At 37.3% G+C, this 14,425-nt stretch overlaps 1 protein-coding gene across 64 annotated transcripts in view; it reads left to right on the plus strand.

Moving 5' to 3' along the window:
- The window catches only part of RIMS2 (regulating synaptic membrane exocytosis 2), a 755,485-nt gene that overhangs the window by 467,377 nt on the left and 273,683 nt on the right, over window positions 1-14,425 (plus strand). For all 64 annotated transcript variants that reach the window (NR_145710.2, NR_145711.2, XM_017014015.3 and 61 more), the window contains one exon: window positions 7,364-7,520. Coding sequence is in view for 62 of the 64 variants with exons in the window: in XM_017014015.3 (XP_016869504.1) it covers window positions 7,364-7,520 (157 nt within the window). In the remaining 2 variants the exon portion in view is untranslated. The remainder of the gene's footprint in view (window positions 1-7,363; window positions 7,521-14,425) is intronic.

Consider the following 14,425-nt stretch of genomic DNA (forward strand, 5'->3'; position numbering starts at 1 on the left):
AGTAGCTGAGACTACAGGCACATGCCACCACATCTGGCTAATTTTTGTATTTTTAGTAGAGACAAGGTTTCACCATGTTGGCCAGGCTGGTCTCAAACTCCTGACCTTAGGTGATCTGCCCGCCTTAGCCTCCCAAAGTGCTGGGATTACAGGCATGGTGAGCCATCATGCCTGGCCTACTCCTAACTTCTTTTGATTAGTGTTACCATAGTACATTTTTTTCCATCCATTTAATTTATATGATTGTTTCCATTTAAAGTGGGTTTCTTATACAGTTGAGCCTCATTTTTTTAATCGAATCTGACAGTCTCTTTTAGTTAGTGCATGTAAATGAGTGACATTTAAAGTGATTATTGATATAGTGGGATTAATATCTACTGTTTTTGTTACCCTTATTCATTGTTTATTTTTGTCTTCTATTCTTTTTCAGTGTTTTTTTTTTAATTGAGCATTTCATATGATTCCTTCCTTCCTTCATATCATATGTCTTTCCTTCCTTGGCATATCAGTTATACTTCTTTTTCTTACCTTTTTTTTTGGGTAGGTACTCTAGAGTTTGTAGTATACATTTGCAATTCATGCAAGTCTGCTTTCAAGTAATACTTCATAGGTAATGTTATATCATATACTTAGAAAATCCCAATTTCTTCCTCCCACTTCTTGTATCATTGCTGTCATTCGACTTAAATTTAAGCATACATAATTGAATACATTGTTGCTATTATTACTTTGAATTAATTCTTATCTGTTAGATAAATTAAGAATAAGAAAAATACAAGCTTTTGATTTTACCTTCATTTATTCCTTTTTCAATGCTCTTTCTTTCTATATGTAGCTTTGAAATTCTGACCTATATCTTTTTCATTCTTTCTAAAAAAAAATTACTTTAATATTTCTTGTAATATTGTTCTACTGGCAACAAAATCCAAATTTTTGTTTGTCTGTGAAAGTCTTTCTTTCTCCTTCACTTTTGAAGGATAATTTCACAGGTCCTAGGATTCTAGGTTGGTGGTTTTTTTCTTCCAAGCCTTCAAATATTTCACTCCACTCTCTTCTTACTTGCATGGCTTCTCTAGAGAACTCATATGTAATTCTTATCTTTGTTCTATAGAGGAGGAGTGTTTTCTTCTTTTTCTCTGTCTTCTTTCAAGGGTTTTTCTTTTTTCTCTTTGTTGTTATTATTTTGCATTTGTCCTACTTGGTATTCTCTGAGCTCCCTAGATCTGTGGTCTGTGGCTTGGTTCCTGACATTAGTTTGGGGAAATTTTCAATCATTATTCTTTCAAATCTTTCTTCTGTTTCTTTCTCTTTTTCTTCTCTTTCTGGTATTCTCATTACAAATATGTTATACCTTGTGTAGTTGTCCCACAATTCTTGGATGTTCTTTTCTGTTATTTTTTCAGTCCTTGTTCTCTTTGCTTTTCAGTTTTTGAAGTTTTTATTCATATATCCTGAAGTTCAGAGATTCTTTTCTCAACCGTGTTCAGTCTACTAATAAGCCCATCAAAGGCATTCTTCATTTCTATTACAGGTATTTCTTTTGTCTCTGGCATTTCTTTTTAGCTCTTTCTTAGAATTTCTTTCTGCTTACATTGCTCATCTATTCCTGCAGGCTGTCCACTTTATTTATTAGAGCCCTTTGTATATTAATCATAGTGGTTTTAAATTCTCAGTCTTATAAATCCAGCATTCCTGCTATATCTGATTCTGACACTTGCTCTTTTTATCCAAATTGTGTTTTTTGCCTTTTGGTATGTAATTTTTTTCTTTCTTTTTTTTTAGACAGGGACTCGCTCAGTCGCCCAGGATGGAGGGCAGTGGCACGATCCCAACTCACTGCAACCTCTGCCTACTGGGCTCAAGTGAGTCCCCCAGCTTCAGCCTCCTTACTAGCTGGGACTATGGGTGTGCACCATCATGTCCAGTTTATTTTTGTATTTTTTAGTAGAGACAGGTTTTCTCCATGTTTCCCAGACAGGTCTTCAACTCCTGACCTCAAGTAATCCACCTGCCTTGGCCTCCCAAAATGCTGAGATTACAGGTGTGAGCCACTATCCCCAGCCTGTAGTTGTTTTTTCTTGATAATTTTTTTATTGATAGGCAGATATGATGTGCTGGTTAAAAGAAATTGCTGTAAATAGGCCTTTAGTAATGTGCTGGTAAGGTCGGGGAAGGGAAACATTCTATATTCCTATGATTAGGTCTCAGTCTTAGTGAGCCTCTGGATTGTGAAAATTTCAAGTGGTTCTCATTTTTTCCCTCCTCCCTTAGGTGGAACAAGATGGTTAGAGTGGGCTGGAAATGTTTTCTTTCTCCTGTGTGGAAAGCTAGAGTGGACTAGATTTGGGTATTTCCCTTCTCCCAGATTGGTTAGGCTTTGGTTAATTAGTTTCCCCTGAGGGAAAGTCTTGTTAAGAAAAGTAGGGCATTCTGGAGTATTTCAAAATGGTTCCTGTTTCCCTCTCCCTCTTGGAAGCATGAGGAGATTTTTCTTCAATATTTACTGTGGGAACCTGGTGGAGCTCCTGGAGGTGAGTCTCACAATATTGTAAGAGACCTCAATGACTGGGTTCCTGTGGAGTTTATAACTCTCAGACTTGTTCTTAACTGATCCTCTAGCAATTTGTCATTTGAAGGTCAAGTTTTCCTACTCTGGCACTGGTTCCCACACTGCTTTCCCCTCATAAGTATCTTCTCCATAAGCTGTGACTCCCTGTTTTTGCCTGTCTCTTCAATCTTGGGGGCAGTTGTTTGCCCTGTGTCATCCCTCTTTTACAGATCCAAGATAATTTGTCGCTTTTTCAGTCTGTTCAGCTTTTTATTTGTTGTTAGGACAGTGAAAACATTACAAGCTCCTTACAAACAGAAACAGAAACTAGAAGTTCCTCCATGTGCTCTTTATTTGGCTTATTCTGATACCAAGTCTTTAAGTCAGAGGTAACTTTGATATTTGCATTGTTAATGTTCTTTAAAGTAAGTTGAAACTTTGGTATGGAAATTTTTCTCAAGTAAGCAATTCTAGGCATGGAGTTTTCCCCCCCATAGTATACTGAGCAACAGGAATGGGAATGGTTATAAACCATTCCTTTTAACCTATTGATGCACTTCACAACTTGAATAAATAGACTATATATAGATAAAATATCAAACCTAGTCATGTACAATTTTAGAATTATTTTCTACTCTGACCTGAAACAATACACACAAATGTAAATAATTTATTTCCCATTGAAAATGTTGAGGGTTTAATTATGTCTTAATTTTGGACAGATGTTTGTTTATTTTTAATCTCCATGTGACTGCATAATTTGAGTTCTTGAATTAACTTCTCCTTTTCTCAGTGGTATCTCTTAAACTCAATAATCAGACTTCTTTTCTATCTATATATGTAATCTTTCCTTGGGTTACAATGATGATCTCTTTATAAATGACTTTCAAATGTTTAGCAACAATCCTAACATCTTTCTCAAGATTCTTTTCCACATATTTAATATTTGACCTACGCAACTGAAACTACCCTCATTTCCCCTTCTCCAAGCTAGTCAACCTTAATAAACTTTTCTTACTCTTATCTTAGTAGCATAGTTTTTTTTTTTTCTTTTTGAGACAGAGTCTTGCTCTGTCATCCTGGCTGGAGTGTAGTGGTGTGATCTCAGCTCACTGCAACCTCCACCTCCCGGGTTCAAGCAATGCGTCTGCCTCAGCCTCCCGAGTAGCTGGCATTACAGGCACATGCCACCATTCCCAGCTAATTTTTGTATTTTTAGTAGAGATGGGGTTTCACCATTTGGCCAGTCTGGTCTTGAACTCCTGACCTCAAGTGATCTTCCCACCTTGGCCTCCCAAAGTGCTGGGATTAGAGGTATGAGCCACCACAGCTGGCCAGTAGTATACTCTGACTTCCTAATAGGCTAACTTAAAAAGTTAAGGTGCATTAATTTTTGCTCTTTTTTTGCTTTTTCATCTAGTCACAAAATGTTACTGATTCATGTTGGCATGGCCTGAACTCTATTCTTGGATCTTTTCTCTATCTTACTCCTTCTCCTAGTGATCTCAAGTCCCATGTTTAAAGTCCCATGGCTTTAAATAGTTATCTATATGCTAAAACTCCCAAATGTATATCTCCAGTCAATTCTACTTATTTTTTCTTTAAATTCTTATAGTTTACTGCCCACCTGACATCTTCACTTGGAAATGTAGTAGGTATCTCCAGCTTAACATGTCCAAAACTAAACTTTTGATCTTTTCCACCAAACCATGTCATTTGATAACTTCATTATTTTACTTAAGTCAGAATTTTAGATTTGTTCTTGTCTCTTCTCTTTCTCTCATGTCCCTCAAATCTTTCACAAAATTGTCTTTATTGCTATTCCTTCAAAATATATCCACTTCTATAATCTCTGTTATTATCCTAGTTAAAGCTGCTGTTATTGCCTGTATGACTTACTACCTTGTCTAGCCTTAAGCAAAAGTTAAATCATGCACAATTTCTGCTTAAAACCCACGAATGGGTTAAAATCACTCAGATTAAATGCCACAATGTTTGCAATAATTTACAAGCGTCTACATAATCTTCCCCCTTCCCTCCAAATGTCTCCAATAGCTGTTCTTCATCACTTGCTCCACTCCAAGCACCCTATCCTCCTTGCTGTTCTGTGAACATGTGAGACGCACTGCTACCTTGGGGCCTTTTCACTTGTCTTAGAACCTTTCTCTCTGTGTTTATCAGCTTGGAAAACCATCTCATTCAATTCTTTCTGAAATGTCACCTTCTCAATTTGTGTTACCTAGTCTAACCACCCTATATAAAATTGCAAAATGCCCTCCTCTTCTGGCATTTTGATTTTCCTTTTTCTTGTTCTATTTTACTAAATGTATAGTATATATAGCCACTAGCTGTATGTGGTTATTTAAATGAATTTAAAATAAACATGTTTAAAATTTAGATTCTCATTAATACCATCCAGATTTCAAATGCTCAGTAGTCATGTGTCTAGTGGCTACCAAATTGGACAGCACTGATAGAAGAACATTCCATCATTTTAGAGTTCTATTGGACAATACTGTTCTAAGTTTTGTAAGAACAATTAATCTTCTTGCTGCAATCTCTCTATCCTTCAATATGAATTGTATACTGCTATCAGCTTCATTTTCCTAAAGTATTACTTCCATCATCAGAGCAGAATGTACTATTGGGACACAGTGAGAGCACTGGAGTCAGAAGTATCTTCTTTTAAGTCTCAACTGTGGTATTGACACTTAATTTAGATTTTTTTTACCTCTGTTTTCTCAAATGGAAATGGAGGTAATATCTTGGCAGAGTTGTTTTGTATTACATAATATATGTGTTCCTGAGGAAACCTTGTGCTGTGCATAATCATGGACTAAAAACAGCAGGGCTTCTGGGAAAGAAAGGTTAGGAAAGACCATTCAAAACCCATGCAGCTTTGAAAACTGAAGAGTAAAAAATAAAATAACACAATTAAAAAGTCATGTTAAATTTTATGCAATAAAAATATTTACTATATAATAGGAGTCTAAAATAAAATGAAGATATCTAGATGAAAGGAGTATATCTAGATGGAAAGAAGGATAAGTCTGCAAAGTTATGAACTCAAGGGGACTATCCACAAACATCAGTAAAGACCCACCAAGTACATATATCTAAGACAGAGTTTGTGACCAAAGAGCCAAGAGGAGGAACATGAGATTCTTGGGATGAATGAGCATTGTGTGCAGTTCTGTATTTCTCTGGTTTGCTGCATCCCGCTGTGTTAGTGAACTTTACATTCAACTGCAATTATTTGGAAGTTGTAGTGGACACTGTTGATGTTCCACCCATATCCTCTTTACCAGCTGGTTTACTCATCCTCAGTTATGGGGAGTGTTGGTTGTTAACAACTCACAGCTGTCCCTCTCTCTCTGGAGAATTGCCTGGTCAAATGGAAACCACCTCATCCATGAGGTTAAACACCTTGCTGACTCTCCACTGGCAGTCTTTAGCCAGTGAATGGCTAACACAGGAGTACAAAAATCCAGGCCTCTTACCTCAAAGTCAGACCAACCCTGGGCAATTGTTCATGTTTCAGAGCATACAGTTGGATCAGACTGAGAATACATCATTGCTTAGTTTCTTCCCTTTTTTCTTGCCCTATTCTGCTCTTCTCCTTCTTCCTGAGGGCACTACTTCACTTATTCATGTACAGGTGAATCCTTGTTTCTAGGGAATCTAATGTGAGTTAATATTGTAAAGTATTATCATGATAGGAAATATTACATATGAACAGTTGTTTTTCTGAGTTATTTCTGAAACGAATGTTGTAATGGAACACTTTTTTAAAGTGCATAGCAGAGTTCCTAGCACGTAGTAAAAGGTCAATTACTAATAGCCACAAAGAGTATGATGAAGATAATGGTGGTAGTGGTGATAATATTACTTCCTGCTCAGAAATTTTCAGGCTCTTTCCATTATCAACCTTATGATGTTTTAGATATCTACAACTTGAGTCAAACGTACTTTTCCTGCTCATTTCCCCACATTGAACTGTTGTTTTCCTACCAACTTAGAAGTCCTTCTACTTTCCTTCCATCTCTCCACATACCAGTTGCTTTCTGCTACTCTTTTAGATAGTATCTCTTCTAATATACTTTGTATAAATGTGTCAGATCATTGGGTTGTTACTCTCTTCTGATTTGTCATATTTTTATTCTCAGAATTCTACTGTATCTCAGCCCTGTCATATACTGTAAGAAAAATGATAGGTGCAGTGGCACGGGCCTGTAGTCCCAGCTACTTGGGAGACTGAGGTGGGAGGGTCATTTGAGGCTAGTCTAAGCAACATAGTGAGACCCCCATCTCATTTTTTAAAAAAAGCAAAAGCCGTTTACACATCTACTACAAAAGGTATTCAGCATGTTTTCTAAAACTTTTTATCACTGAAAAAAAAGATGTTAATGTTTAGGAGTTTTTATGAGCTTAATAATTTTAAATAATTGATAAGAATTATTTGAAGCTTTTCTAGGTCATTGAAGAGATGAAAATATTTTTAGAATAAATTTGAGTCTTCTATTGGAGATAATTAACTGTATGTAAAATTTTACTCTAAGTTTATATAAAAGCTTTACGCAGCACAATGCCTTGGATATAGTAACTGTCTAAATATTTGAATATCTGTCATTCCTTTTTAATTTCTGTTTTCATAAAATATTTTGTCTTAATATCATGGTTTATTCACTATACTTTATATTTAATATATTAGAAGTCTTTAAATTTCACCAACATTTTGTTTTTGAGTAAAGTAGAAGAGACGCAAAGGACTTTGTACATACATAACTATAATATTTATTAATTTTCTACCTTTAGATTATCGACATGATGGTCGAGATCTTCAAAGCTCAACATTATCAGTGCCAGAACAAGTAATGTCATCAAACCACTGTTCACCATCAGGGTCTCCTCATCGAGTAGATGTTATAGGAAGGACTAGATCATGGTCACCCAGTGTCCCTCCTCCACAAAGGTAAGATAGACTACTTATTTTATTTGTAGGGTGGCTGTATTAGTCAGTGTTCTCCAGAGGGACAAAACTAATAGGATATATGTATATACGAAAGGGAGTTTATTAGGGAGAATTGGCTCATATGATTATAAGACAAAGTCCCACCATAGAATTTCTGCAAGCTGGGGAAGGGAGAAGCCAGTAGTGGCTTAGTCCAAGTGTGAGTCCATTTTGAAAGGCTTAAAACCAGGGAAGCTGACAGGACAGGCTTCAGTCTGTGGTCAAAGGCCTGAGAGCCACCAGCAAGCCACTGGTGCAAGTTCCAGAGTCCAAAGGCCAAAGAACCTAGTGTTGGATGTCCAAGGGCAGGAAGAGTGAAAGGAATCATCCAGCACAGGAAAAAGAAAGAAGCCAGAAAACTTAGCAAGCAAGGTTATCCCACCTTCTTCACCCGCTTTGTTCCAGCTGCATTGGCAGCCGACTGGATGGTGGATTGGGTGAGTCTTCCTCTCCTAGTCCACATATTCAAATGTCAGTCTCCTCTGGCAACACCTTACAGACACATCTAGAAACAATACTTTACCAGCCTAGGCTTCCTTCATTCCATTCAAGTTGACACGTAATGTTAATCATCAAAATGGCATTACAGACCTATTTATCACATATCGGTAATAATCTCTAAAGATAAGAGATTCTTGTGGAAAAAGAATTTAAGGAAAGCAAGATGGTTTTGTTTATTTAAGGAAAAACAAAATGCTATTCAAGGAAAAACAAGATGCTATACAATAACCTATGTAACGAGAGTAAAATGAAACATGACTTGTTTTGTAATTTTAGACAACCTATATGTTATTTTATTGTAAGAGTTCAAAATAATTCAGAAGAACCAGTTTTCAATCACATATTGATATGAGTATATCTAGGTAGAACCAACTAATTATACTCATGAATGATATAGATAATCGGTAATTTAATATATAGGAAATAATGAAAATCTGACTGATATTTAAAATTAGTAACAAATATCAGAATACTAATTTTTTTCTTTTTCTTTTTCTTTTTCTTTTTTTTTTTTTTTTTTGAGACAGAGTCCTGCTCTGTCACCAGGCTGGAGTGCAGTGGTGCGATCTCGGCTCACTGCAACCTCCGCCTCCTGGGTTCAAGCGATTCCCCTGCCTCAGCCTCCCAAGTAGCTGGGATTACAAGCGCACACCACCATGCCTGGCTAATTTTTTGTATTTCAGTAGAGACGGGGTTTCACCATGTTGGCCAGGATGGTCTTGATCTCCTGACCTGGTGATCCGCCCACCTTGGCCTCCCAAAGTGCTGGGATTACAGGCGAGAATAATAATTTTTAAAAGCATGTGCAGTGGGAAGAATGGCTCAGAAAATCTGCAGCTACAGGTCTTAAGCTTACTGGAAATCTCTGATCAACCTGGTTAAGTACAGACAAGCTTAATGGAATAAGAATCACGGAAATAATAGTTGAAGCTAACAAGAAATATGTGCATAATTTACATTGTACATACTTGGAATGTTTAAGAAATTTTGACCAGTTAGAATGACACACTTATACATCCTATTTTAAATAAATGATTATTTGACTTAGAATTTTAATTGAGTCTTAATTTTACACAGAATATTGGAATGTCTAAGACAGCTTTAGATTTATTATGTTTGAAGGATATAAGACACTAAAATAAGATTTATGTAACTTAGACAATTGCAGAAATTAAACAATATCTGACATATTAAGTTGACAAACATGGTTTAAAGTGTTTGAAGATGTTGAATTAACAAAGTTTATAAATGGGACCAAAATTATTAAACATTTTTTAAAAGTACTTAAATGTGATACACTTATCAATAGAATAACGTGTAATCTGAAATTTAAAGTTTGAGAACTAGTTTTAAATTTGTAACTTTAATAAATTGAACCCTTCCCTCCTCTAGGAAAATAAAAGAATACCTATGTAAAAGGAAAAACCAAAATGTTTTTGTTCTTTGTACATTCTACTCAACACAGAACACCTCTGTGAACAGATTTGTGGGGATTTTTTCCCACACCAAGCGACTTGCCAGCAGAAAGCACCTGAGTATCCTGTAATTCAGTTCAATTCTGACACTGTAATCTGGAAATTGTATCAGATTTCACATTTTAAAGGGATAAAGGCTCAGTCCCACAAGGCTGTCCCCTATTTCAAATGCCAATTGCAAGTCCCAGATTGTGACCTATCCAGTTATAAATTGGAGTTTCCATAGCCCCTCTCCTTAGTTTGATAGTTTGCTTGGACAGCTCACAGAACTCAGTTAAACACTTTAATCATGTTTACCAGTTTATTATAAAAGATATTTTTAAAAATGCAGATGAAGAAATGCATAGGATGAGATTTGGGCAACCTGGAAACTCATCAAATCTTGTTCAAAAGTTTCTATGGAGTTTAATCTCCAGCCCTCAACCCTCTTTCTGTAGGTCAGTAGGTGGGGCTGAAAGTTCCAGCCCTGTAATCACCTGGTCCCTCTGTAGCTCTGTAGACTGGTCCTATCATGAGGATACCCAGGGGACCCACCCTTAGTAATCATTAGCATAAACTCAAAAGTTATCAGAGGTGATCAGTAACAAAAGACATTCTATCACTTAAGAAATTCCGATGGTTTTAGGAACTCAAGACAAAGACCAAATGTATTTCATATTATACCACACTTTACTTTTATCAGGGAAAGAACATTTGAACAGTCCAATAGAAGATAGGAATACATTTTAGATCAGATTCTCTTTCATATGATAGCCCATCATAACAGGGGCTCAAACATAAAATGTTTATTCCATGATAAAACAGAAGTGTGTAACTAGACAATCTAGGGCAAAAATGGTAGTCAGAGGAAAAAAAAATGAATGCAATGTCAAAAGTGTCATAAAGGACAAAGAAATATATGTTCTAGAAAAAATTACTAAATTTAAAATATGTAACCACTACTACCACTTTGAATTAGACAGTCTGTACTTTGCACAAAGACTGGACCAAGGGCCAAGAAAGGGTCAAACTGCAGCTAGAATTTTGCTCAATTGTATGCTCATAAGGCCATTTCTGTAAAGAAGCAGTACTTTTTCAAATTTGCCCTAAGGCATTATAAAAACTAATAAAAATACCTGGGTATAATGATCATGGACAAATTTGTTCCTTAATGTATAAAGAGCTTTTAAAGATAGGAAGCAACAACTGACAGGGTTATAGAAAGAAAGAAATAAACAATTGTAGTTGGAGATTTTAACATATCCCTAACAGAAATCAATAATCAGACCCCCCCAAAAAAATTAGCAATGGCTTAGAAAATTTGAATAATGTCAAATTTATTGTGCGACTCAAATATGCTATATTTTGTATATATATCTTTTTGTGTATCTCAGTATAAAATTACATAACATTAAAGCAAAGAATACAAATTATTTTTAACAAAACATAACTTTACAAAAAATAACTGGTAACAAAAACTTGTTAAAAAGTAAACCTCAATAAATCCCAGATAAAACATTGTCTCTGAATATTATTCAATAAACTTATAAAGCAATTTTAAAAAGATAGTTTTTAAATTCCTGGAACTTATCTAAAATACTGTGAAATAACTTTCAATTATAAGTGAAATAATTGAGATATTAGGAAATATTAGGATTGAATGACAATGAAAATGATGCAAGCATTTGGGGGACAAAAGCAGTATTTAGGAAATTTTTACCTTAAAGGGTATTCATCAAAAAATAGGGATGCTTCAAAATGATGAAATAGGATATTACCTCACAACTGTTAGAATGGCTCTTATCAAAAGGCAAAAAATAATATGAGATGGCAAGGACGTGGAGAAAAGGGAACCCTGGTACACTATTGGTTGCAATGTAAACTAATACAGTCATTATTTAATGAAAACAGTATGGAGGTACCTCCAAAAACTTAAAATGGAACTACCATATGATTCAGCAGTTCCACTACTGAGTATCAAAGGATATGAAATCAGTATGTCAAAAAGATACCTGTGAGGGGACAAAGCAAGATGGGGAATACGTGCACCATTCATATCTTCACTGGAATACCAAATTTTACCAGCTATCTGCACACTGAAAAACACTATCACAAGACCCAAAAATCAGGTGAGCAAACACAGTACCTGGTTTTAACTTCATATGATTGGAAGTGACATTGAGGAGGGTTGGAGAGACAGTCTTTAATCACCAATGCCATCCTTCTCCTAACCCCCAGCAACAGTTGTTCAACATGGAGAGTCTGTGCATTTGGGAGAGGAAGAGCGCAGTGACTGGGGAACTTTACATTGAACTCAGTGTTGCCCTGTCATGGCAGAGAGCAAAGCTTTGCTGGGCTCAGCCAGTGCCTGGATATGGAGGGAGCATTTGGACCAGATTTAGCCAGAGAGGAATCACCCATTCCATCAGTCAGAACTTAAGTTTCTTAGCAAGCTACGCCACAGTGGGACAAAGTGCTCTGGAGTCCTAGGTAAACTGGAAAGGACACAAGGACTACAACTCCTAGGCAACACCTAGTGCCAGGCTGGGCTCAGAGCCAGAGGACTAGGATGGCACATGACCTAAGGAGATACCAGCTGGCATGGCTAAAGGAGTGCTAGTACCACTCCTCCTCCAACCCCAGGCAGTGCAACTCACAGCAATTAAAGTGTCTCTTTCCTTCTCTTTAAGGGGAGGAGAGCAAAGAGTAAAGAGGGCTTTGTCTTGCATCTTGCATACCAGCTCAGCCACAGTAGGAGAGAGAACGAGGCAGAGTCAAGAAGCCCCCGTTCTAGGCCCTAGCTCTGGCACATTTCTAGACAAACATGGGCTAAAAGGAAGTTGCTGCCTTGAAGGGAAGGACCCAGTCCTGCAGGATTAATCACCTGCTGAATAAAGACCCCCTGGGCGCTGAATAACCAGCAATGATACCCAGGAACTATGCTGTGGGCATTGGGCTCTGAGATGTGCAGGCTTCACAGGTGACTCAGCACATTCCCACCAGTGGTGGCTGTGATGAAAGACTGCTTCTGTTTGAGAAAAACAGAGAGAAAACTAAGGTGACTTTGTCTTGCACCTTAGATGTCAGCTCAGCCACAGTGGGTTAGAGCAAAAAGCAGGCTCATGGAGTCCCTGAGTACAAGCTTAGTACAAGCTCAGCATTTCAGTACCTGCCCTGGCCCAGAGGGGAGCCTATTGCCCTGAAGGGTGAGTCACAGGCCTGGCAGCATTTACCACAAACTGACAGAGGAAACCTTGGGCTTTCAGTGAACATTGCAGTGGCCTGACGGAACCCCCTTGTGGTCCAGTGGTGGTAGATCCCACAGGGAGAGGCTCTTCTGCCTGTGGTAAGGGGAGGGAAGAGCAGGAAGGACTTTATATTGTGGTTTGAGTGCCACCTTAGCCACAGTAGAATAGAACATCAGGCAAATTTCTAAGGTGTTTGACCCCAATCCCTAGCTCCCAGATAGCATCTGTGGATCTGATCAGGGCCTAGGGGAACTTACCACCCCGAAGAGAAGTACCCAAACCTGGCTGGCTTTGCCACCTACTGATTGTAGAGTCCTAGGACCTTGAGTGAACATAGGTGATAGTAGCCAAGTAGTGGTTACAGTCGGCCTTGGGCAAGACCCAATGCTGTTCTGGCTTCAGGTCTGACCCTGTGCAGAACCAGCGGTGGTAGCCACAGGGGTGCTTGCATCACCACAACCCCAGTTCCAGGCAGCTCAGCAGAGAGAGAGAAAGAGACTCCATTTGTCTGGGAGAAAGTAAGGGAAAAGAATAAGAGTCTCTGGTGATCCAGAGAATTATTCTGGATCTTATCAAAGACCACCAAGGTGGTACCTCTATGAGTCTGCAAAAAACACAGCATTATTGGGCTTGGGGCCAAGTCACTTTGAATACCTGGAAAACCTTCCCAAGAAGGATGGGCACAACAAGCCAAGACTGCAATAAATACCTAACTCTTCAATGCCAAGACACCAAAGACCGTCTATAAGCATTAGGATCATCCAGGAAAACAAGACTTCACCAAATGAACTAAATAAGGCACCAGGGACCAATACTTGAGAAACAGATGTGACCTTTCAGATAGAAAATTCAAAACTGCTATTTTGAGGGAACTCAATGAAATTCTATATAACACAGAGAAGGAATTCCAAATTTTTTGATAAATTTAACAACGAGATTGAAATAATTAAAAATAATCAAGTGGATATTCTAGTGTTGAAATATGCAGTTGAAATACTAAAGAACGCATCAATGTCCCTTCAGAGCAGAATAGATCAAGCAGAAGAATTAGTGACCTTCAAGAGGCCATTTGAAAATGCAAAGAGCAAACAAAAGAAAAACAAATAAAAAACAGTGAAGCACACCTACAAGATCTAAAAAACAGACTCAAAAGAGCAAATCTAAGAGTTATTGGCTTTAAGATAGATAGAAAACAATACAAAAGATCAATGAAACAGGTTTGTTTTTTTAAAGATAAGCAAAGTTGACAAACTTTCAGCCAGACTAACAGAGGAAAAAAGAGAGAAGACCCAAATAAACAAAATCAGGGATGAATAAGGACACATTACAATTGATACCACAGAAATTCAAAGGATAATTAGTGGCTGCTGTGAGCAACTATATGCCAATAAATTGGAAAATATAGAGGAAATGCATAAACTCCTAGACACTTACTAGATTGGGCCACAAAGAAACCCAATAGCTTAACAGATCAATAACAAATAACAAGATCAAAGCCATAATGAACAGTCTCCCAGTAAAGAAAAGCCTGAACCCAATGGCTTCAATGCTAAATTCTAACAAACATTTAAAGAAGAACCAATACCAACTCTACTCAAACTATTTCAAAAAATAAAGAAGGAGAGAATACTTCCAAACTCGTTCTACAAGGCCGTTATTACTT

The sequence above is a fragment of the Homo sapiens genome, chromosome 8 (genome assembly GCF_000001405.40).
Source record: "Homo sapiens chromosome 8, GRCh38.p14 Primary Assembly".
Classification (NCBI taxonomy): domain Eukaryota; kingdom Metazoa; phylum Chordata; class Mammalia; order Primates; family Hominidae; genus Homo; species Homo sapiens.